Source organism: Homo sapiens, chromosome 15 (assembly GCF_000001405.40).
Source record: "Homo sapiens chromosome 15, GRCh38.p14 Primary Assembly".
Classification (NCBI taxonomy): Eukaryota; Metazoa; Chordata; class Mammalia; order Primates; family Hominidae; genus Homo; species Homo sapiens.
This window is the reverse complement of record NC_000015.10, coordinates 68,073,746-68,100,154: the sequence shown is the minus strand read 5'-3', so window position 1 is coordinate 68,100,154 and position 26,409 is coordinate 68,073,746. Positions and strand designations below refer to the sequence as shown.

Genomic DNA, 26,409 nt, shown 5'->3' with positions numbered 1-26,409 from the left:
ACTTCCTACAAATCTGTAATTATTTCAAGATCAAAAGGTGTTTTTTTTTTTTTTTTCCCGAAGAAATACAAGCTACAGACTGGAAGAAAACATTTGCAAACTACATCTCTGACTAAAACTAGTATCTACAATATGCAAAGGAACTCTCAAAAGTCAATAATATAAAAACAAGTAATTCAATTAAAGAATGAGAAAAATATGCACAGACATTTCACCAAAGAGTATAAGTATGTCGACAGATGGCAAATAAGTATGTGGAAAGATGTTCAACATCATTAGTCATTAGGAAAATGTAAATTAAAACCAAAATGAGTTATCGCTACATACATACTTAAACATCTAAAAATAAAAAAAGTGACAATAACAAATATGCTGGCAAAGACAGAGAAAAACTGGACCTCTCATACAATACCAGAAGAAACAGAAAGTGGTACAGCCACTCAGGAAGACAACTTGGTATTTTCTCCCAAAAAAAAAACCCCCAAAAACCCATATACTTACACATATGACCCAGCAATTCCATTCCTGGGCATGTATTTGGAGAAAAGAAAACTTATGTCCATACAAGCACCTGTACATGAATACTCAGGATAACATTATTTATGATAGCCAGAAACTGTAAACAACCAAAATGCTCTTAAATAATTCGAATAGTTAGAGAAATTGTGATATATCCATACCATGAATCATTACTTAGCAATAAAAAAGAACTGATGGCTAATGTGCAACACCAATCATAAAAAAAACTCAAAAGACAATCACAATGGAAAAAGTAGTCACAACTTATATCACAAAGTGCTAAATTTCTTAAGTCTATAAAAAAGGGTAAAAAGCCCAACCACCAAATTTCAAAATAAAAAGCTCAAGGAACTTTGAAGAGTAAAAAAAAAAAAAAGAAATATATATACATATATAGTCACCCAGCCTGAGTGACGAGAGTAAAACTCCGCTCATAAATAAATAACGATGTGCTTTTATAATTTAAAAAATATATTTTTAAAAACAACAACAACAACAACAACAAACTTCACCCTCACCCATAAGAGAAGTGCAAGTTAAAACTATAATGAGTTATAAATTTTCGCTGTTAATTTGGAATGATCAAAAAGTTTAATAACACATGGTATCGTTGAAGGCACAGGAGGAAAAAACAGTCTCTTACAGAGCCTGTAAGATTATAAATTAGCAAACACACCTTTCTCTAGAGGGAAATTTGGCAACATCTACAAAAAATATTTAGATGCACTTTCTATTTCTAGGAATTATAAAACTACTGGCTATATTTAGACAAGTGCATAGTGATATATATCACAGAATATTCTCTACAGCAATGTTTTCAACAGCAAGAAACTACCCAAATGTTGACCAACAGGGGAATATTTAATAACACAGAATCCAACGAATCTATTGCCTACTAAGTAGCTGCTAAAAAAGAATGAGGCAAATATGTTTGTTTGTAGGTGCAGCAGCTACCCCAGTAAAAATATAAAAAGAACTGAAAGCAACACCTGTGACTGAAATAAGGGTGAAAGAGGGACTTCCTTTTCATTGCAAACCCTTTTGTAACTTTTGAGTTTTGTACATCAATGTATTATCTATTTAAAAATTTAAAAACAATCAAAAAATTAAGTACAATTGACCCTTGAACAACACAGATTTTAACTGTGTGGGTCCATTTATACACAGATTTTCTTCCACCTCTGTCACCTCTTAGACAGCAAGATGAAAATCCTCCTATTACTCCTCCCCTTTAGCCTACTTAATGCAAACATAACAAGTATGAAAACCTTTATAATGATCCACTTAATAGTAAATATATTTTCTTTCCTTATGATTTTCTTAGTAACAGTTTCTTTTCTCTAGCTTACTTTGCTGTAAGAATACAGTACACAATACATACATATACAAAATACGTGTTAATCAACTGTTTATGTTATTGGTAAGGCTTCTGGTAAACAATAGGTTATAGTAAAGTTTTGGAGGAGTCAAAAGTTACATGTGAATTTTTGACTGTGTGTGTTGCAAAGGTGGCATCCCAATCCCCTTGTTGTTCAAGGGTCAACTATACAATAATTCCATGTTAGCAGAAAAGTATACAATTAGACCAGTGGAACAGAGTAAGATCTAGAATAATATTCAAAGGAAGTTTTGGGAAAAAAATAAAATTAGAGCCCTATACTCATGTAAACAAAAATAAAATTCAGAATTGATTAAAAAACCCCACAAATGTCAGAAGTGGAAAATGTTATTTACTCCTCTAGGAGGTAGCATAGGTCATCTGGAATCAGACAAAATCCAACAGCTACTGGTTTAATATATGAAAAGCAATCAGTGTTAGACACCATATTAATAGAATAATGGGAAAAACTATACAATCATCTCATCAGATGTTGAAAAAGCATTTAATAAATTACAACATGCAGGCTGGGCACGGTGGCTCACACCTGTAATCCCAGCACTTTGGGAGGCCGAGGCAGGTAGATCACCTGAGCTCAGGAGTTCGACACCAGCCTGGCCAATGTGGGGAAACCCCGCATTTAATAAAAATACAAAAATTAGATGGGCGTGGTGGTGCGTGCCTGTAGTCCCAGCTACTTGGGAGGCTGAGGCAGAAGAATCACTTGAACTGAGGAGGCAGAGGTTGCAGTGAACTGAGATCATGCCATTGCACTCCAGCCTGGGTGACAAGAGTAAAACTCCGTCTCAAAAATAAATAAATAAATTAATTAATTAATTACAACATGCTTTTATAATTAAAAAACTCAACAGGAAGGGCATCTATGAAAGAATCCACAGCTAACATTATACTTAATGGTGAAAGACAAGATGCTTTTCTTAAGGAACAAGAAAAGAATATCTACACTTCAAATTCAATAGCATATGAAAAGGGTTTTACATAATGATCAAGTGGGGTTTATTCCTGGAATGCAAGGATGGTTCAGTGTATGAAATTCAATATAATACACCACATTAACAGAATGAAAAAAACTACATGATCATCTGAATGGATGTAGAAAAGACATTTGACAAGTTTCAACAACATTTCATGATAAAAAACACTCAACTAGGAATGGAAGGAAACTATCTCAACATAATGAAGACCATATATGAAAAACCCACCACTAACATCACATTCAATGGTGAATGACTGAAAGCTTTTCCTCTAAGATCAGGAACAAGGCAATTCTTGCCACTTCTACTCAACATAGTACTAGAAGTACTAGCCAGAGCAATTACACACACACAAAAAAATGAAAGGCATTCAAATTTAAAAAGAAGTAAAATTAATCTCTGTTCACAGATGACATGACGTATGTAGAAAACTCTAAAAGTTTCATGCAAAAGAAAAAAAATATTAGAACTAAGAAACAAACAGGAAAACTGCAGGATACAAAATCGACACACAAAAAATGAGTCCTGTTTCCATACACAAACAATGAACACACTGAAAAGGAACTTAACAATTCAATTTTCAGTAGCATCAAGAAGGATAAAATACTTAGGAATAAACTTGACCAAAGAGGCAAAAGACATGTACACTGAAAACTACAAAACATTTCTGAAAGAAATTAAAAATATAAAAAAAAGGATAATGCTCATGAATCAAAAACAATATTGTTTAAATGTCCATAATACTCAAAGCAATCTACAGATTTAATGTAATCTTTATCAAAATCTCAATGGTATCTTTTGCAAAAATAGTAAAAAAAAAAAAAATCCTAAAGTTGATATAAAATCTCAAGGGACTCCCAAAAGCAAAAACAATCTTGAAAAAGAACAAAACTGCAAGCCTCACACTTCCTTATTTCAAAACGTATTACAAAGCTACAGTAATCAAAACAGTGTGGTCTTGACATAAAGACATACAGACCAATGGAACAGAATAGTGAGCCCAGAAACAAACCCTCACACATACATAGCCAAATGATCTCTGACAAGGCTGTCAAAACCACACAATGGAAAAAGGACAGTCTTCAGTTTTTATTCAAACATATAGTTTCAAAATAAACATTTAAATAAAATTCTAGGAACTGCAGATTATCTTGAAAGGACATATAGAGATAATAAACTAATTTATTTGTTTTTTCAACAATTCAGGCTTTTTATTTTTACCTATCTTAAAGTGATTTAATTATAATACTACATCCAACATTCGGTTTCTTTTGTACTGTAATATCTCCATCTTTGGCACATCTAAAGCTTATTTACATTTCAGTTTTAATAAATTTAGCCAAGAGTAGTGCCAAAGAATTACAATAACTAATCTCTGCCCAGAGCTATTGGGGTCTGCTGCAAGCACTGTCAGGAATGAAGAAAAAGAATGGGCCAGGCGTGGTGGCTCACGCTTGTAATCCCAGCACTTTGGGAGGCCGAGGTGGGCAGACTGCCTGAGCTCAAGATTTTGGGACCAGCCTGGGCAACATGATGAAACCCTGTCTCTACGAAAATACAAAAAATGAGCCAGGCGTGGCAGTGGGCACCTGTAGTCCCAGCTACTTGGGAGGCTGAGGCAGGAGAATTGCTTGAACCCGGGAGGCAGAAGTTGCAGTGAGCCGAGATCATGCCACTGCACTCCAACCTGGGTGACAGAGCGAGACTCCATCTCCAGAAAAAAAAAAAAAAAAAAGAATGTCTTAAAATTATTTTCCAAACACCCAGCTATGTGTCAACAAAACGTCTTTTTTTTAAAAGAAAGAAAGAAATGATCGCCAAAATTAGATTCTCCCTTTTGTTACATTATCCTATCTACCCCATGATGACCACATGCCCCATGATTACCACAACCAAGTCCTCCAGCTGGCTGCCATGCAAACTCATGGCAACCCAATTTGTGCACAGGAGGCTGAGCGAAGCACGGCAGAATTCGCTGTTAAATTCTGAAATGCTGCATTTCAAACACTATACAGTATTATACTAGATGTCTGATCTTTAAATTCGATCCCAGTAAGATCTTAAATGTTGGATTTCTTTGATAAACTGTACTTACTTCTGACCCTAAGTGTTTGGCTCCTTAATCTCTCAATTAAAAAAAATTATTTCATAATTATAATTGTATAGAGTGGTTCTTTCACTGATTCTAATGGTTAAGATTCCTTTCCAAACCCAAAAAAGCCAATCATTCTTAGTTCCCAAGATCACACTCAAGTACACAGACATCCATTTATCAAAAATACTGGATGCCTTGGGGAATTCTGGACAACTATACAAACACGACTATTACATTAAAATCACCAGATAAAAAGACAGAATATTATCTATAAAGGAATGTACGACTTAGCAGGTAAGTGTTAGACTTCATTTTGAAGGTCAGAAACCAGTGCTGCCAATTAGGGAGAAAAATTTCCAAAGAAACCCACCTACAGAAAAATTAGTGCTCTTGATTTCCCAAAATTCAAGTATAGAGGAGCACAGTTTATGCTGAATTATCTAAAAGTAGAGTAGAATGAATCATAAAACCTTTGAATGCCCTTTCTAATAGTTATCAGAGCCTGCGTCCTTGAATTTGTATCACCTGATCTCCAGGCACTGGATATTAAGAATGTGGAAAAAGGAAAACTCAATTATAAAAAATGAGAAAAGAAGAAAACTGTGAAATATAATCCAATGTCAGAGGAGCCCTTGGCAGAAAACACTGGTAACCAATGTTATTAAGATGTAGCAGAAACCTTACCCACACTGCACAAAACCTGATGGATCATTTTAACTATTTAGGAGTGTTAAAGCATCTGTTCCCTTTTTGCCTAGAGCAAAACCCAAGTTTATATAAATATATATATATTTCAAATATTTTCTATAAATTATTTCTACATCTTCTCAAGCCTAAAAGAGGTGTAAATATCTCCAAAGAAATATTCTACTTTAAATAGGAAAAAGGGTCAATCTAGTTTTCTTAAATACTAAGACTATACGCCCAGCACATCTAGGTTGCCGGTCTTCTCCAGAATTATTGGTATACTATCCCATGTCAAGTAAGAACAACTGTACCTTTAAAAAAGCACAGGAAAATTCAAATATATATATAGCCCAGAAAATAGACATTCTTGGTGTTTAATGGAAAAGATTGTTTCATAAACATCAAAATTTAAATAGAAGCCACCTTCCCAGGCTTAAAAATGAAAAAAATAAAACACAGTTTGTTTAATCACAAATTGAAGGACACCCATGTGGTCAATTTAAGTGTTTCTCAATGTTTCAGATTCTTCAGTCTGTAGCGTCCAAACACTTTCTAAACAATATTAGAATACTTTCAGAATTTAGGAGGACCAAGAAAAGGCAGTGATCTTTACAGATAATTTCAAAATTTTAAATAATTTTTGGTGAAAAAACAGACAAGAAAAAATGACTAGGAAATTATTTCATTTTTATACTCATTATTTACTGTCACTGTGCTTGATGAGAAAAGAAAACATACAACTGTATGATAAAAAACATAATTTGCTTCTCTACTTTTCCCAATCCTTCCCCCCATTATAACCCTCTCAAAGGGGTAAAGGGAGCTAAATGATTTCTTTTAAAACTCAACCACAATTATGATCCATGTTGTTCCCCCACAAAATAAACCACTTAAATTATTCTCAGGCAAGAAAATGAACTTCTAATTTCAATGCCTTTGGGGAGTTTAAGAAGAATGGCGCAAAAGAAATTCAGTAGAAGCCCTCTTAACTGATATTATGATTAACTGATGCTCTCCATTCCCTTTATAGAACATCCAGACCAATGCCCTACCAAGCTAACTGCCTGTGGCCAGTAGACAACTCTACAGTGCTTCCGCACAATTCTGCTCACACCATGTGGTATGCTTACCAAGAACCAGAGGTTTATTCTCAAACTTGCTTATGTTAGTTGCACTTGTAATTGTAATTACAAAACTGAATTAAATATTACAAAAGCTGCTAAAATGTAAGTCTAAAAAGAAAGTTGCTGTTTTCATGAAAACTAAGTTAAATGCTCTGGGAAAGACCTGATAAAGCCAAGTTGCTATTTAAAAAATGCCAATGAAGCCAACTATAAAAGATTTTTCCCCATTCGCAACAGATTCTATACTCAAATATCTTCATAAAAGCCTTTAAGTCTTCTTGCTAAAATAATCTAAAACTGCGAAGTCATCACTGTCAAAGAAAAGGCCTTGACCAACATCAAAAGATTGGCAAATAAATATACATTAAAGTAAGATGTTTAACTTATGTATCACTTTTTATCAATTCACTACTGGTTTCAACTAGATTGGCTAAAAGGAGTATCTTAATCCATTTGGGCAGCTATAACAAAATACCTCAGACTGGATAATTTATAAACAACAGAAATTTATTTCTCACAGTTCTGGAAGCTGGGAAGTCCAAGATCAAGGCATCTGCAGATTTTGTGTCTGGTGAGGCCTATTCCTCATAGACAGCACCTTTTAGCTGTGTCCTCACAGGGTGAAAGGGGGCAAATGAAAGGGGGCAAACAAGCTCCTTGGAGCCTCTTTTATAAGAGGCATTAATCTCATCCATAAGGGCCACGCCCTCATTACCTAATCACCTGCTAAAGGCCCCACCTCTTAACACTATTGCATTGGGAATTAGGTTTCAACATTTGAATTTGTGAGGGACACATTCAGACCACAGCAAGGAGATATTCTATCCTTCAGTAATCAAGTAGAAGAACATTGAATTAGAACATTAGAAATAACACTCATAGTCAGCTGGGTGCGGTGGCTCACACCTGTAATCCTAGCACTTTGAGAGGCTGAGGTGAGCGGACTGCTTTGAGATCAGAAGTTCAAGACAAGCCTGGCCAACATGACAAAACTCCGTCTCTACAAAAAATGCAAAAATGAGCCAGGCATGGTTGCTCCTGCCTGTCGTCCCAGCTACTCAGGAGGCGAGGTGGGAGGATCGCTTGAGCCAGGAAGCGGAGGTTGCAGTGAGCCAAGAATGTGCCACTGCACTCCAGCCTGGGCAATACAGCGAGACCATCTCGGAAAAAAAAAGAAAAAAAATAAGTAACACTCATAGTCAATAATTATTATGCCTCATACCAATCAATGAGAAATCTCTAATCAATAAAGACATATGATGTGAACTTATTCAGATATATTGCCTGAGATATTTAAAAACTTGAAAAGACATCCCCTGAGAAGGTAAAATTTGACTTCAATCTCATATAAAGCAAACAAGATGAGTCACCATACTTTTATATGACTACAGATGGCTCGACTTAACAATTTTCCAACTTCATGGTGGTAAGAAAACAATAGGTATTCAGTAGAAATTACTTCGAGTACCTACACAACCATTCTGTTGGTAACAAAACCATTCTGTTTTTCACTTCAGTACGATATTCAATAAATTACATGAGCTATTCAATACTTAATTATAAAACAGGACTTGTGTTAGATGTTATGTCAGCTAATGTAAGTGTTTTAGACACATTTAAGGTAGGTTAAGCTAACCTATCATGTTTGGTAGGTTAAGTGTATTAAGTGCATTTCTGACTTTGGATATTTTCAATTTATGATGGATTTATTGGGACATAACCAGAGGAGTATCTGTAGTCCAAATGAATGCAAAGCTCTCTGTTCTATACATGTTGGCCTTTGAAATAATTAAAAATATTAAAAATATTTAAAAGCACTATATTAAAAATGTATTTTCTATTTGAAAATTTACCTGAGTCAAGGAAGATATAAATAGCTAAACTAGTAACAAATATAAATCTATTAATAGATTTGTTTATACTTAAGTCTGAATCAAATCAAATACTGTATCCTAAAGAACTATTATTTTATTTACCATGAAAGTATTCTGTGTTTTTGCCATTATGTTCTAACAAAGCCAATTTAAACAATAACTATAAACAATATTATAAACTATTTTGAATGATACAGGTATTATTCTAAACAAAACAATATTAAAGGATTGAGAGGAAATATCAAATAATTATCTTGTCCCTGAATGGACAAGATATTTTAATCCAAAATTATTTTTCCTTTTATTTTCATAATTATGTAAATTTCACACCTCATCAACACCAATATTGGCACACTAAGCAATAAGGTATTTCAAACAAAGTACCCCTTAACACATGTGCTCAACATCCTATCAAGATTAAAATTTTCTTCCATTATTTATATGGATCAATAATACATGCGGCTGCCAGGTTACGTGAGCTAGTGAGGTTCTCCTCTCCTTCAAAATGAAACCAGAAATACACACACACACACACACACACACACACACACACACCCGTAAATGACTAACAAAAAGAATACCACAGAAGTATTTTAAAAGTTTATCTGTAAAGTAAGCAAGTAATTATAATTTCTATGGATTCTACATTAAACATAACATTTTTGTAATTAGGGAAAATTTTTTTTAAATGGAGTATATTAAATTTCAAAGACATCAATTAACCTCAGAGATGACAGGATAGGGCAATAAGAGGAAGAATACCATTCTTCCCTACTCTATTTCCCATCCCTATCATAGCCACTGTTTGTAATTACAGAGTGTGGTATGGCTCAGTTGTGTTTGCAAGGTAAAATGGTTAAAATCCACTGAATTAAAATGAAATAAAAGATTCCATCTACTGCATTAAAACGAGTTGGAGAGCTAATAAATGTTTACTGAACTACCATGTAACAGGTTCATATCTAGCTATTATAGGGATTTATAGATAAATGCCTCAGAAGCCTTATCATTTTGAGGAACAAAACAAAAACATTTAATAAAGGGTAAATTAAATGTTAGGACAGCCTGGGCAACATAATGAGACCTCAACTCTACAAAACATAAAAACAAAAATCAGCCAGGTGTGGTGGTGCATGCCTGTGGTCTCAACTACTTGGGAGGCTGAGTTGGGAAAATTGCATGAGCCAGGGAGGTTAAGGCCACAGCAAACCAAGATCTCGCCGCCACATTCCAGCCTGGATGACAGAGCGAAACCCTGTCTCAAAAAATAATAATAATTATTATTATTATTAAATACAATTTAAGTTGGGTGTGGTGGCTGACGCCTGTAATCCTAGCACTTTGGGAGGCCAAGGTGGGAAGATCACTTGAGTCCAGGAGTTCGAGACCAGCCTGGCTGACATGATGAGACCCTGACTCTACTAAAAATACTAAAATTAGCCAGTCATGGTGGCACGTGTCTGTAGTCTGAGCTACTGGGGAGGCTGAGGTGGCAGAACTGCTTCAGCCGGAAAGACAGAGGTTGCAGTGAGCTGAGATTGTGCCAGTGCACTCCAGCCTGGGCAACAGAGCAAGACCCTGTCTCAAATAATAAAATAAAATAAAATTTAAAAAATAAATGTTATGAGGCCGGGTGCAGTGGCTCACACCTGTAATCCCAGCACTTTGGGAGGCCGAGGTGGGCGGATCAACTGAGGTCAGGAGCTCAAGACCACCCTGGCCAACATGGTGAAACCCTATCTCTACTAAAAATACAAAATTAGTCGGGCATGGTGGCACGTGCCTGTAAGTCTCAGCCACTTGGGAGGATGAAGCATGAAAATCACTTGAACCCAGTGGGGCGGAGGTTGCAGTGAGCCTAGATTGTGCCACTGCACTCCAGCCTGGGCTACAGAATGGGGCTCTGTCTCAAAAAAATAAAAATAAAAAATAAATGTTATGAGAGCATGCAGGGAAAGTGAAATTGATTCTGGCTGGGGAAGAAATGTACAGATGAAAGGAGGACAGCCTAGAAAGATAAATGAAAAAGGTTAAAGAAAAAAAGCATTTGAAATAAGCCTCATAGAAACAAACAGAATTGAGATAATGAGAGGCCAAAGTAAACAATAAATTAAACATCTTACTTTACAACCACCTTTTACTTCACCTCTCAATTCTTACAGTTAATTATGGACAATGAAAAGAATACTTTAATTATGGCTCCAAAATAAAGGCCTTAAAATTATTTTAAATTGTTTTAAAGAAATAACAAAATGATCGTAAGAATGAATGAGAATTACCTAATAAAATGGGAATTATCAGAACTACTGTCTTCCATTTTAGTTAGAAATACAAAACCATGCATAAAAACATTCAGTTTACATTTGAACATCTTAAAATCTGTTTAAATCTAGTGCTTAAGGCCACAATGGAAGGGAAAAAATGAAAAAGTAAATGTGCCTGTCCCATTCTGGACTCAGTGATAGTTGTGATCAACTAGCCAGCTGGTGTTCGAAACTATGTTCTCAAAAACTTGATTTTAAATGTATGTACGTTTAGAAATGAAGAGAATGCTGGAAGCTATTTAATTTTCCAGAAAACGTGGTTTTCTTAGATTTAAAACAAATGAACTACCGGCAAAAATAATCATTTAGGAAACTAAGTTATGTGACAAATGTAGCCACTTCATTTAATGAAGTACAGAAAAAGTCTTAATAATGTTAAAGAATTTATAAAAACAGAGCCTTAAAATATACTCATCCTACACCCTGAAGACTAATTACATAAAATCTTTTTTCAATAAATATTTTTCACATTCAATAAGCATTGCCCTTCAACAAATATTTATTGAGCCAATAAACTTCCACAAATTACTTTGTGGTGAGATCTTTTTATGCATATTAAATTGGTTTGTTTTTAATTCTATAACGATGAGATACTGAAAATCTATTTACATATCACTAAGCAATTCTATACCACCTATTCATTTGGTGACTTTCTGTGAATACATACCACAAACAGCAGATTTATTCATGAAAACTGGCATTCAAATCATACTTCAAATATAGTCAATTATTGCTATTTGTGACATTTATGTTCATAAAATCACCACAAACACTGAATTTGCGAATATATAATCACTGCTACCAGGGGAAGTATAGGGTTAGGTTCCTGCAAGCCCCTGGTCACAACGTTTTCATCAACTGATCAATACATAACACATATGTACACATACATACATGTACACAGACCATATACAGAGATATGGATAGATACAGATATGGCCTTTAATTTAAAATGGGATATATATATATATATATATATATACACACACATAATCAGACAGACAAGAAAAGATGCATATGATATATTATTAAGGGGAAAAAAGGGAAGTTATACAATACTATGTATATGATTCCTTCTGTAAAAAACAAGAAACAATTTGCTTATACTATATATGCATACACACTAAACAGCTAACAAGGAAGGAACTTTGGCAATTCCATTTTTTACAATGAGCATGTGTCAGTTTTATAAGCATACAGTAGATTCTCAAAAAATGTTTTCTTATTATGGCCACTTAAAAAATAAAATAATGTGATACAAAACTCACGTTGTTTGAAAATGACTCCTATAATCTTCGTGTATTCAGATAATTTCTGCTAAATATAATTAAAAACAAACACTTCATATTTCAAAGATAGAATTTCAGTAAACATTTTCAAAATGTTCTCAAAAATTCGCAAAAAATGTTCTCAACACTTGCCAGTCCCCCAAACTGAAATGTTCAATGATCTGTAACAGGGATTCACAAGCTTTTACTATACGGGTAAATATTTTGTGCTTTACAGGCACACATGGTCTCCGTTACACATTCTTTGTTTTTGTTTCTTTCCTTTTTTGTTAATAACTCTTTGGGAATATTTTTCAGATTTCTTAGCTCAGAACCACATAAAAACAGGCCACAGACTGGACTTAGCTTGCCAGCCGTAGTATGCCAACAAACCAGCATTTAGAAGTCTGATATTTTAAATATATTATACCAAAGGCATCAGAGGTCACAACAGTTGAGTTTTATTCTACGTTAAATAAATAAGGTAGCATTATAGCAATTAAAATTACAAGTTGATTAATATATTGAATTCTATATGCTAGACTACAAATCAAATGATGGAACAACACAGTAAAATAAATTTCAAGCACTTATATTATATAACCGTAATCATGAGTGTGCATGTGCATGTGCATGCCTGTAAAGCATGCACTTCTCCACTTGAAAAAAATCAGCTGAAATTTAACTAGCATACATCAAAGCTCAAGTCTCCTTTTATGATCATTAAAACCATTCACTCATTTAAATAATCAAAACTAGTCAGTGATTTGTTTTAGAGATCATCAACCCCTGAAAATTAAGAACTAATCAGAGACTTGTAGTGATTCATTTGGTTTTAATTTAATTTATGAGATATTATAAAATATTAATCAACCTTCTAAAATACTACTCTTTGGAAGTTTATATTCTTGAAACTTTTTAATATTTACTTTGTCAGTAACCATCACTATACTACCTTTTTTCCTGAAAGACAGCTTTTATATATTTGATTTTATCTAAATTTGAAAGATCTTCATTATTATCCAGCTGTTACTATCAAATGAAAATTTCATTATGAATAATAAACTGGGTCAAAGTAAAAGCCTAAAACGAAAATTCATCCTGCAAAAGTAACCAAATACTATCATACAATAATCTTACCTAGACTGGTGGGTTTTATCAGTTCATCCAGTAAATCATAAAATGGTAATTTTTGAAGTTTTATATCCGGATGGACTGGGTGAAGAGCTGATGTAAGATGTGGGAGTTCCAGTTCATGTTTAGGTCCCAGAAGAGAAACAGGGAGTAATGGCGATGATGCAGGGTGACCATCGTAAGTGAGTTGTGGAATGGTAGATGGAGACAAAGTTGCTGGCATAGGACTTGAATGTACGTTGGGGATGGACAAGTCTGCAGGCGTCATGATTTTCTGTGGGAACCGCCGCCTATAGAGTTCCTTAATTTTCATTTGCACAGCAGGACTACAGCCAGCCTTTAGCAAATGCAGGGCTTTTGTGAGAAGTTCGTGTTTGCGTCCGTGCTTGTTTCTCCCGGCGTAGCCCAACAGTACTTGGAGTTCAGAAACTCTAAGGCTCATAACCATTTGCTTAGAGAAAAAACAAAATGTAAAACATTAGTATTCCAATAATATAATTTACACTATTAAATGACACTTTATTATAACCCCCTTCTTATGGTTTACTTAAGCAAATAAAGGCCAGCTCACTTATAATCCTATTATTTCAAACTTCAAATTTAATCATTTAACGTTAAGTAACCAAAGAAATTTAAAATTAATATTCATAAATTCATTGACTTCTACCCTTGGTTATAAGAAATATAGGATAAAGTATACACCAGGGAAAACCACACCTCACTTTATTCCACTGTTTTGATGAAACTGTCAGGTATTTATCAAGCACTTACTGAGTCTCCAGGAGAATGTCGAGTGCTATGTAGATGGCAAAACGTAATGATGTGCTCTCAAGAATATTTTGTTTTCTTGGGGAAGAATTATAAGTATATATGAAACAACAAACAGTCCATCTCAAACACCAGATGTAGGCAGGATATCAATAGCTATTATCAAGTGTTACTTACATTCTGTACTAACTCTGGAATTTGTAGACTTAAGTTACACCTTTTTTGACCAATTATATATCAGATATTCTATTTGATATTTTCACATGGAATGTCATTATCTTTACAACTCCGCAAGGTATTATCCTGCCTGATTTATACATGAGGAGACAAGTTCAGAAAGGTTAGATAACTTATAAAGCCATAAAGCTACTAAGGAGTAGTCAGGATTCAAACCCAGATATGTCTGATTCTAAAGCCCATGCTCTTTCCACTAAACCATTAGGAAAAAGACAGAGCTGGACTCATATTACTGACTCTCACTTAACTTGCAAGGCCAAGCTAGAAGTCCAGCAACCCAATTCATATGCCATAATGCATGAGGCTGCAGTAATCTATTTAACTTTGTTTACCTATGTTCGCAAACTTATTTAGTCCCCCTTTCTCCTTTTTCCCCACCTACTAATAGGAAATGACCATCTATACCAATCCTCCCATTTTAAAGTGGTGGAAAATGGAATCCAAAGAGAAGAAATCACTTACCCAAGATCACACAGCTATTAGCAGAATCCTAAAAGATTGCATCACCACTGACAGGGAGTATTAGGATAAAAAGACACATGTAAGCTTACCATTTGCTCTCTATTTCTCCAACTAATTCCTTCACCTCATACCAAATACACAAAAGCTATGCTTATGCTGCCTTCCCTAACTCACCACCACTCACAATGATAACCCCAGCCAATTCTCTAAGGGTTCTTTGCAGGTGGCAAAACCATTAAGCAAAAAATAAAATACTGAGGAGAAAAGTATATAAAGAGCTTTATAAGCAATATAGCTGGTTAATCAAAGAAATATGAGTCCTTCCTTTACTTCTCTGGCTTGGAAAACTCTTTCCTCAAGGTCCAGCTTTTGTTAGCCTTTGGCCATTAGCCTTGGTAGGATGATCTTTACTCTCACTATTTTTACAAAGGCCACTTTTCGCATCTGTATTTTAGCATTTATTTTGCTTTATTGTAATTTTCTGTTTACACAAGTGATTCTATAAGCAAACCAGGGTTCTCCATGGTACACAACCATATTACCCTCAGCATCTACAACTAGGGCCTGACAACAGTGGAAACTCTTCAAATGCCTGCATAATCAATGAGTGAATGAATGAACGAACAAATAAACAAGTAAGAAAGGACACCAGAAGAAAGGGTGGGAGGTAGCATCTACAGCGATAACTTATCCAAATAAATGCTCAAATTCATGTTCTGTAGAGGCATGCAAAGATATAACGTAAACCTTAACAAATTCCACCCAAATCTTAGAAATGTTTTCTCTTTTTAATGTTATCAAAGATTGTAAACAATTACTAACTATAATATCAGCAGGATATCAATTTCTCCCTACTCACCAAAAGAGTACAAAATACTTCTAAAGACTTTTATTATTTAAAAAGGAACAGGGACTTCAAACTGAAATGTACTATTAATAAGTAAACTGCTTTTAAATAAATAACATGAAACTTCAAGGATTAGAGGTTAAAAATAAATTTAAGTTGGCATGGGTCAAATGTACTGCATTTTACAGAAAAAAAAAGTACAAATTTTGAAGAGAACTATTTCAACTCCATTCTCCTAAATCAAAAACAAACCAGCAAAATTCAGTGACTACTGTAAACTCTGCATTGATGACAGCTTTTGTCTTTATTCCATAGGTACAAAGATTCAGATGCAATGCAGATGTATCATTTTCCTATTTTTGTAGAAGAATATGTTGACATTTCTCATAAAATCTCTTGCTTGATGGTCCAAAAAAGTTTATGACACAACAATAAACTTGAGCGCCCTCAATTACATTTTTTGTCTCTCTCTGAAACAAAGAGTAGCAGCAGCAATAACAATACTTGGTACATAGTAGGTACTCAAATAGTAGCTGCTATCAGCAAGCCAAGCTTTTTAGTTTTGTTTGTTATTTAAGAGATAGGGTCTTGCTATGTTGCCCAGACTGTTCTCAAACACCTAGGCTCAAGTGATCCTGCCTCGGCCTCCTGAGTAACTGGGTGTTTTTTTTTTTTTTTACAGGATTCATCATCAATTGTCATAATTATCAGGCAGGTACTGTTCTCACTTTTCAGGTGGGAAAATAAGACTTAGCAAGGTTAAGAAACGTGTTGAATGTCATGCAACTGGTTCTACTCCAAATGTACTTTCTTTCATGCTATAATATGTTGACATTAAGAGGAAACGAACCACATGCCTTTAATTGGATAACAGAAAAACCTATTTGAAGATTAATTTATTTAACTCAATCTCCATTTCAAGCTTCAACATTTTGGCTTTTAAAAACTGGCGATTAAGATAAGAAAAGAATGTGGATTCAAATTAACCATTGCAACTTATAATCAGGTATAATGAAAAATCAGGTGCTATCTATTGCTATTATTGGAACAGCTGTTGCATACTCTTAAGGACTGTGATAAGCATGCAGTATTTTTTAAAATGAAATAAAAGAAGGGGGCGGGAAACACTGAAGCATCTTTCAACAGAAAAGCTGCAAAGAAGCATAAAGCAGTCAATTCACAATGAAAAGTGTTGACAACACTGAGGAAAACTAAACACTAACACATCTGAGTTGTTGAAATGAAATATATTTTAATCTGCATTTAAGGTGTTTAAAAATCTCCATTTGTTAGCACAACAAAATAAATATTTACAACTAAGGATTGCATCAACCACTACTACTATTAGAAATCATTACTTCCTCAGCAATTTTGTAGCATTCTGCTGACTCTACGTCCTCAATTGATAGAGATCTCAGAATCCTAGGGGATTTAGAATGCCTCAGAACTGTATATATTTTGAATGCAAGAGCATTCTGTAAGGAGCAACCTCTTAAAACTAATTTTCATAATCTGACAGACGTGAACACAATTTAAAAAACCAAAAAGTTTTACAAGAAAAACAGCAGTCCCTTCCCCCTTTAACATACCCCACAATTTTCAAATCCCCGAGGCAACCACTTTCAAGTCTTTTTAGCTAGTTCTTCTGGCATTTTTTTCTCTATATTCTATGTAGTAGGTCTATGCAGCTGTTTAATTTTTTCTTTGAGGACTCTACTGACTTCCTATTATAAAATATAATGGTTTAGCTCTGTTACATCTTCTCTCCCTCATCTTTCTATCATAATTTTTGGTTGAATCAATTGTCAGTACTTACATTATTACTATGGCTGTAAATAATATTCACAGCTGAGCCAAAAGTACATCATGATTACTCTTTTCTGTATAACTTTGCTTTCCTTACAGTTAATAACTACACCATTTTTCCATTTGCTTAGGTTTCTAGGTACCTACTGCTAATTCATCTGCAAACAGCTAAAAGTATTAACTTTCTTCTCAATATATTCAAATACATCAGGTAAATCAGTTTTCTTTCCTGTAGCCCTCCACCATATTCCAATTTGGACTGTAGGCTCTCCAAGCCTGGTGCACAATTATGGTCATGGAATTTCCCTTTAGCTTATCCCAGGAATTCCCTTGTCTCTCTTTTATACTGGATCCCGTTTCCTTATGCCACTACTTCCCCTTTCTTGGTTTTCTCTTTTTAGTGGGGTATTTCCTCTAGCAGCTTTCTGAGAAAGGGGGCATGTGAGGTACGATGTTTTTATTCCTTGCATTGTATTTTTAAAATCTTCATTTACCCTTACGACTGAGTTTGGCTCAGTACAGAGTGCTGGGCAGGAAATCATGTTGTGTCAAGATTTTGAAGGCCTTTCCTTATTGTTTTCTGGCTTCCAGTGTTAAGAAGCCTAGTACCAATCTGACCCATAATCCTTCATAGTCAACTATATATCCCCATCTGGAATCATAGCAGCTTCTCTTAATCTGTTCTGAAATTTTACAATGTTGTGCCTTGGGGTTGGTCTTTTTTTTTTTTAATTGCATAAACTGATAACTGTCGATCCTTTTAAACTTAGAGATGTATGTCCCCTTCAGTTCTGGGAAGTTTTCTTACAATAATCTTCCTTCCATGTCTTTGTGTTCTCTTTCTTATACACTTATTATTCAGACACAGGTCTTCCTAGACTGATAATCTCATTTTTCCTTTACTCTATTTTCTTTTTCCTTGTGCATTTTTACATCTCTTGTCTTTTAGCTCTATCTTCTGGGATTTTCCTCAATTTTATCTCCTAACGCTTACATTAAATTTTTAATTTCCATGAACTCTTTTAATTTTCTGCATTTCTCTTTTCTTTTTCCTCTACATTTTGTTATTTTTCTTTTTTGAGAATATAAATTGGGTGTTGATGTTGTTTTCTTCTTCTCCCTACACTGGTATCTGCCTTTCATGCCTGAAGCTTTCCTTAAATGAGAGACAATCCTGGGCTGTGCATACATAGTTAAGAGTAAGATACTAAAAAGATGATGGGAAAATCTATGTGAGTGAGCAGACCAGGGTACTTCATCTAGAATGACTGGGCAATAACCTGGCTATTTTGTTTGGATTCCCTTTGCTTCCTTTTGTCTGATCACTTTTGACAGAGAGGAACAACCCAATCTCCTGCTTTGGTGGTATAAGGCTGGCTTCTAGTGTTCTAAGGGCAGAGTAGTGCAGAATGGGAGGTTCAATACATTCAAGACAATAACATTTTATTCAATCCCCTTTTCAGATATGTAAAACTTTACAAAAACACAGATATATATGTACGCAAACTCTGTCCCAACTACACAGAGGCAGGGGCCATGTTCTGAGAAAGATAAATACAGACAATACTCAAACAACGTCAACAAGCAAACAGGCTTTTGCAACTAAACAGAAAGTGCCAGTTTTATTGTCTCATTAGCTGTGACCTTCCATTATTGAAGGTTATATCTACACTGTGGATAAGAATTAGGTACTTCTTGTTGAACAACATAATTACTCTTGTTCACACATCCCACTGCAGTGGTTTACAGGATTAGTCATTAAGCAGACTATATTATGAGTCTTTATCTGGTATCAATTTATAACGAATTGTAAACCAGAATGAATTCCAAAGACAGACAAAATAGGGATTTAATAATGTCATAATATTTCATTTATACTTTTGCCTTTCATCCACAAAAGCAAATGCATAATCACAAATTCTGTAACTGCACACATTAAAGCTTGCACACAACAACAAAAGTATTTTATTATTTTCAAAGTCAGATTCTTCATTCAATGGGGCTTACTTTTGGATGATTTCTAAATCTTCTCATTACAAATTGTTAATAAGCAGCTATTAGCAATCTGTCAACAATGCCCCATTCAACCAGAAAACCTAGTTAGACAGTTTCTATTCAAAGCAGCAAATCAGGTTGGTTACATACTTCTCCATAATCTTGTTTCACCCAATTTCTCAACTTTTATCTATTTTGCAGCATAAGACAACCGGAAAATGACCTGTAGTGCCTACTCCTCTAGTTAATTATCTTCCACCTCTCCAGGTCCATCTTATTGACTGCATTGAGGTCCCACAAAATGACAAAATATTGCAATTATACATAAATAGAGATCCCATTCTTCTTTAAACAAAGTATAAACACTGTTGAAATGGTACACCATGGCTTTAATTTTTGATAGATAATTTAAACATCATCCTTATTTATATACTACCACATTTCATGAAACTTCTATCCTTCAAAAAGCTCCTTCTGGACGATAACCTGAACATTAAAAATAACAAATCCAGCCAGGCGCAGTGGCTCAGGCCTGTAATCCCAGCACTTTAGGAGGCTGAGACAGGCAGACCACTTGAGGTCAGGAGTTTGAGACCAGCCTGACCAACATGGTGAAACCCCATCTCTACCAAAAATACAAAATTAGCCGGGCATGGTGGTGCATGCCTGTAATCCTAGCTACTCGGGAGGCTGAGGCAGGAGAATCGCTTGAGCCCAGGAGGTGAAGGTTGCAGGGAGCTGAGATCGCACCATTGTACTCCAGCCTGGGCAACAACAGCGAAACTCTGTCTCAAAAAAATAAATAACAAATCCAACTCAGAATGTTATAACATTGGAGTACAATATTTTTCCTAAAAAGTTTAGGCCAGGTGTGGTGGCTCACACCTGTAATCCCAGCACTGTGGGAGGCTGAGGCAGGAGGAACACTTGAGCCCAGGAGTTTGAGACCAGCCTGGGCAATACAGCAATACCTCATCTCTACTAAAAATAAAAAATAAAAAATAATTAGCCAGGCCCATTGGTGGCACACACCTACAGACCCAGGAACTCAGGAGACTGAAGCAGGAGGATCCCTTGAGCCCAGGAGTTCGAGGCTGTGGTAAGCTGTGATCACACCACTGGACTCCAGTCTAGGCAACAGAGTGAGACACTGTCTCAAAAAGAAAAAAGGAAAAAAAATTTTAAAGGGCTTAGTTTAATTTTAAAATTTAGAGTGCAAATTTCTAACACATTGCCAGACTTCTTATGCAGAGGTGGGAAAATATGGCTCTTATTTAAGAAAAAGGCTGCTCTGCACACAGATGTTCAATAAATGCTTTTTGGATCAATGCACAGGCCCTAAATGAGTATGTATAGGAAGAGAAGACAGGAACAATGAACACATAGAAATAAACTAGTCTTCAGAAACATGCGTAATCATCGTATTAATTCAATTCTCAAAAGTTACTGAATACCTAAAATATGCTGAATAAATGTGCAATACAATATAATGGTACTGGCAAATACAGAATTTGGATTCTGGTACTGACTTGGCCACTAATTTACCAAATTACAATCTTACAGGTTCTGTTTTCTCACTTTGAAAAAAAAAAAAAAAGAGGGATTAACTAGAGGTTCTCAAAGATTCCTTAAAATTTCAAAATTCAACATTGTAACTGTATTAAATGAAATTTTCTTCTCATTCTTCTACTCTTCTACAGTTGGGGAAATACAATACATACAGTTAGTGAAATCTTTCTATATTAAAAATGTTTTCAATCATAATTTTTAGCGTCATTTACATGGGTTGACAGACTAAAAATGACAAAACATAATATGTATTAAATACTTATAATGTACCAGTAACATACTAATTATAGTAAGCATGATTATCTTATTTAATCCTCATATGAACCTACAAGACAGAGCATTATTATTCTCACTGTATAGATAAGAAAACTGACATTACATCTAAAATCACACAGTAACTACATGATGGAGATAGGGCTCAAATCTGACCTGATTCCAGAGTTCATAACTAATACAATGTCTTATCACAAGCTCAGCCAGAGCTGAGTATATGTTACACTGAGACACGGACAGGAAATGGGTGACGGGGGCACTAAATGACAGTCAAGGAATTTATACAGTATAACATGAGCAGGCAGTGGAATAAATGCATATTTTAGAGGCAGTAAAGATGTAATTGAAATAGTGCTTAAGGAAGTTACCGAAGTAACCACCAATAGGATGGCTGAAATAAGAAAAAAACTAAGAAATAAACCTTCTGGCTAAAAGACATGGCAACACGCAGGATTTATCTACATGTAAGGTAAGAAGGAACTGTGCAGTGGAAATACAGGAGACAGGACCAAGAAATACTGCAAAGAAAAACTACAGGCCATGTTCAATATTCTACAAACAGGTAGGTCTTTTAAAAATTAGTACTGTACTTGATCATGAGAACAATCATCATTCACTTTTCAAATAAAATCTAGAATTTAAAAATACTAAGTAGGGCTTTAAGAAGTTTTAAGTCTATTAAATTCTAAAAGATGATTATTCTTTCCTAACTGTCCCCTTACCAAAAACAAACAAAACACTGCATTTGCAATTAGATGATCTAAGTTTCAGATAAGACAAGAGACAATGAACAGTATACCCTATCTGAGAGAAAGCTGAAAAGCCTAAAAGAAGAAACACGTATTAACAAAACAAAAAGTGACAAGAATGCATCTTCTAAACTAAAGAGTCTAAATTACAGCCTTCAGTCTGGGTCCTAGTATAGAGATTAAGGAAAAGTCCTAGAGGGGTGGTACTGAACTATTTCCGAGTAACAGGAGTAACCTACTGAAGGTAACAGAGCTAGCAAGTAGTGGAGCTCAGACTCAAAAGGCAAATGCCAATGTCCACACAATGCTACATGGTAATAACAACTACAGACACTATCACATAGTATGAAAATGTTTTTGGAAATAACAGCAACAGAGTATCAAAAACAGAACTTAAAGATCTTCTTGTCTAAAACTCCATCTAATATATGAAGTTTTACTCCAACTTTCTTGACTGGGCCCCCAGCCTCTGCTAAAACACTTCTAAGAGTTCACAACCTTTAAAAGCTGCCCACATTAGCGAAAAGCTCTAGGAATTGAAAGTTCCCTTTAAAGTCCGCCCAATGGCTCTAAAATTTCGTCCTCTTGGTATACCAAAATTGACTCTTAAAATGCTTAAAATGTGTTAAAAGGACTCTTTTCCTTCAACTAGCTAGACCCCTTCCCACTCCTGATCATTCTCAAGCATTCTGCAGTCCATAGTACTCAGAAGTGAATGAAATAATCTAGATATGGTGTGACTAGTCTCCAACACAGCAGTATTACTATCCCTCTTAATATGAACATGGTATTTTTACCAATATAACCTAACAAGTCATTCACGTTTTAGGTTTGTTTTATTTGGACAAGAGGGGATGTATGGTATGTGTTATTCTTTTATTTCAGCAGGGAGGGGGCTGCATCCACATCATCCTGTTGCTTATGTTAACTAAAACCTTTATTCTATCTTTTTCACATAAATGGCTACAGTATAAAGTCAAACCACCTCATCCTCGAATACAATTTTTTTAATTTAAAAGTAGAACGTAATGTTTCATGCCATTAAACTTCATGTTTTTCAGCTCTTCATTCCAGCCTTTCAAACCCCTTTTGAAAAATTGTATCCTACACCCCTCTATTGTACAATTATCACGAAATGTGGTAAAACACTGATTTTCCAGTTTATGTCCTCCCATAGATTTTGAGTTTTTCAAGGGTAAACACTCATCTCCATATCCCCTATGCAAGTATAGTTAATGACACCAAGTAAGTGCCCAACAGATGATGATATGAATTCCTCTTCCTTTTATAATCTTAACACACCCTTTCCAGTTCCGTGTCATATATAAAATCTGAGAATTGTGCCCTTAAATATTCACCCAAGTCATCCTTAAGAACTTGGAATATGACAGTGTCAACTCTCTAGGGCCCTGAGCATATCATAAGAGATTATCCTCCAAGTAACAATAAAATTTAAGGCTACAAATGAAGATTATTCAACTATTTGCGATTAAGATGACTCTTTTCTCCTAGGATTCCCCAATCTTTTTTGTTGTTGTTCTTTCTTTTTTTGAGACAGAGTCTCACTCTGTCGCCCAGGCTGGAGTGCAGTGGCGCAGTCTTGGCAACCTGTGCCTCCTGGGTTCAAGTGATTCTCCTGCCTCAGCCTCCCGAGTAGCTGGGACTACAGGTGCATGCCACCATGCCTGGCTAATCTTTTATATTTTTAGTAAAGACGCGCTTTCACCGTGTCAGCCAGGATGGTCTCAATCTCCTGACATGATCCACCCACCTCGGCCTCCCAAAGTGATAGGATTACATTCGTGAGCCACCGCGCCCAGCCTGATTCCCCTATCTTAAGGTAAAAATAAACATCTTCCAGAGTGCACAAGAAAATTAAGGTTATCATATTTCAGTCCTGATTTATAAGTTTTAGACAGAAACAAGTTTTTAAAAAGACGTACACAAATGTTCTAAAAGCCCTAGGTGGCCAGGAGCGGTGGCTCACGCCTGTAATCTCAACACTTTGGGGAGGCGGCAGCGGGCAGATCACCTGAGGTCAGGAGTTCAAGACCAGACCGGCCAACATGGTAAAACCCCATCTCCACTAAAAACATAAAAATGAACCAGGCACGGTCCTGGGCACCTGTAATCCCAGCTACTTGAGAGGCTGAGGCAGGAATAGCACTTGAACCCCGGGGGGCCGAGGTTGTAGTGAGCCAAGATCGCATCATTGCACTCCAGCCTGCGCAGCAGAGTAAAACTCCATCTTAAAAAAAAAAAAAAAAGCCCTAGGAATGATTCCTTACAAACTACACAGAGAAATATTAAAAAGAAAAAAATAGGTTACAGCAAAAAGTTATTCAGGTCTTGCAATGACAGCTTGCCTAAATATTTTTTAAAATTCCATCAGAAGCCTATTAATAATAACGACCCTTTCTTTTCTACACAGAATGGAAGACTTTCACTTGAATATTCTACTAGTTACAGATAAGAGAAATAATTTCACAACAAAAGCATCCTTTAGTCTATGTAAAGTAAAACTGCTAACTTTCCACAAAACTTACAGATCATTATGATCATTATCTTCAGAACAGATTATTATGATTAAAATTTAAGTTTTATGATTTAAAGTAAAATTTACAAAGTTACTACAGTAGCAAAAGCAAGTTTAAGAAAATGTTTTGGCTGGGCACAGTGGCTCACGCCTGTAATCCCAGCACTTTGGGAGGCCGAGGTGGGCGGATCACCTGAGATCAGGAGTTCGAGACCAGCCTGGCCAGCATGGTGAAACTCCATCTCTACTAAAAATACAAAAATTAGCCAGGTGTGGTGGTGGGTGCCTGTAATTCCAGCTACTCAGGAGGCTGAGGCAGGAGAATTGCTTGAACCTGGGGGGGCGGAGGTTGCAGTGAGCCAAGATCACGCCACTTCGCTCCAGCCTGGGCAAAAGAGAGACTCCGCCTCAAAAAAAAAAAAAAAAAAAAAAAAAAGAAAGAAAGAAAGAAAATGTTTTTATTTTCTTTCAAAAATTCCATTAATGTACATAAAAATTCATTTTCAAGGTGAGGCTCATGAAAACATATTACACATTCTTCGTGAAATTTATGGAAAAGGAAAATGAGCTACTCACAAAACTCTGAGGCTAAAAACCCAAACAGACTATACTTTTTAGCATCCATTTTAACATATCCAAAACATTAAACAAAAAAGCAAAAAGAAAAAAAAAAAGGAATGCTAAAGTTCCAGATAAGAAGCAATTTTTTTAAAAGCACAAAAAGAGAAAAACAAAGTTTATCTATCTACAACTTACTCTGTCAAAAAGAAAAAAAAAGTTTAATTGTCCATGTCTAAAGGACAATTCATAAACTAGCCAAAAGAAGAAATGATCTGTGGTTATGGTTTTATAAAAAAAGTCTTTTATCTTTTGTGGACATTAGAAAGTGAAATAAAATATGAGGTTTATCATAATCAGTCAAAAAGAACAATTACTGAAAACTCATTCTTAATACCATTCCTTGAACATATAGCTAATCAAATTCCAGAGTACTTCTCCAAATACTCAATGCAGCCAATGTTCTTAAAAGTTTAAAAATAAAAGTTATTTTACTTCCTGTAATCCCAGCATTTTGGGAGGCTACTCAGGAGGCTGAGGTGGGAGGATGGCTTGAGCCCAGCAGATCAAGCCTCCAGCCTGGGCGGAAGAGCATGACCCTGTCTAAAAATAAAATTTTTTTAAATTTAATTTTTAAAAAAGGAAAAAAAAGTAGAGATAAACTCTATGACAGAAGAAGAACAATATCACTGAATCCTAAGTCTAAAGTAATCCTTTCACTCAGCTCAGTCTTCCTGAGTGATCTCATCCACTCGTAACTTCAAAACGCTATCTCTAAATTAACAATTTCCAAATCTTTATTTCCAGCCTAACCTTGGTCTCCTAAACTCCAAATCCACATCTGCTAAACACCTCTCCTTATATCCCAAGAGTCATCAACTCAACATATTCGAATCTAACACATCAACTCTCTCCAAACCTTCCATCCACCTAATCACCCGTCAATGCCAGAAGCTGCTACACCATCTTCTTGTTCACCTCCAATCTATTTACCAAGTCCTGTCAATCTTAACACCTTAAAATATCTTAGTCCCTATTACCACTCTAATTCAGAGTCTGCAAGAGACTCTTAACTTTTCTCCCTGCCTCCAATATTATCCTCTCCAAGTCATTCTCCTCACTATTGCCAGTGATCATTCTAAAATATAAATCCAATGATGTCACGCTTGTGCTTAAACTTTTCCATGATCACCTACTGCACTCAGAGGCCC

General features: G+C 35.4%; 1 protein-coding gene across 7 annotated transcripts in view; it reads right to left on the bottom strand.

The window, feature by feature from the left end:
• Positions 1-26,409, bottom strand: part of PIAS1 (protein inhibitor of activated STAT 1) — a 139,533-nt gene that overhangs the window by 93,693 nt on the left and 19,431 nt on the right. For 6 of the 7 annotated variants that reach the window (XM_017022688.2, XM_011522126.3, XM_017022689.2 and 3 more), the window contains one exon: positions 13,405-13,849. In XM_017022688.2, the coding sequence (XP_016878177.1) occupies positions 13,405-13,849 (445 nt within the window). Of the gene's footprint in view, positions 1-12,264; positions 12,311-13,404; positions 13,850-26,409 lie in introns of those variants that run through there. The other variant, XM_047433197.1, reaches the window with a different exon arrangement.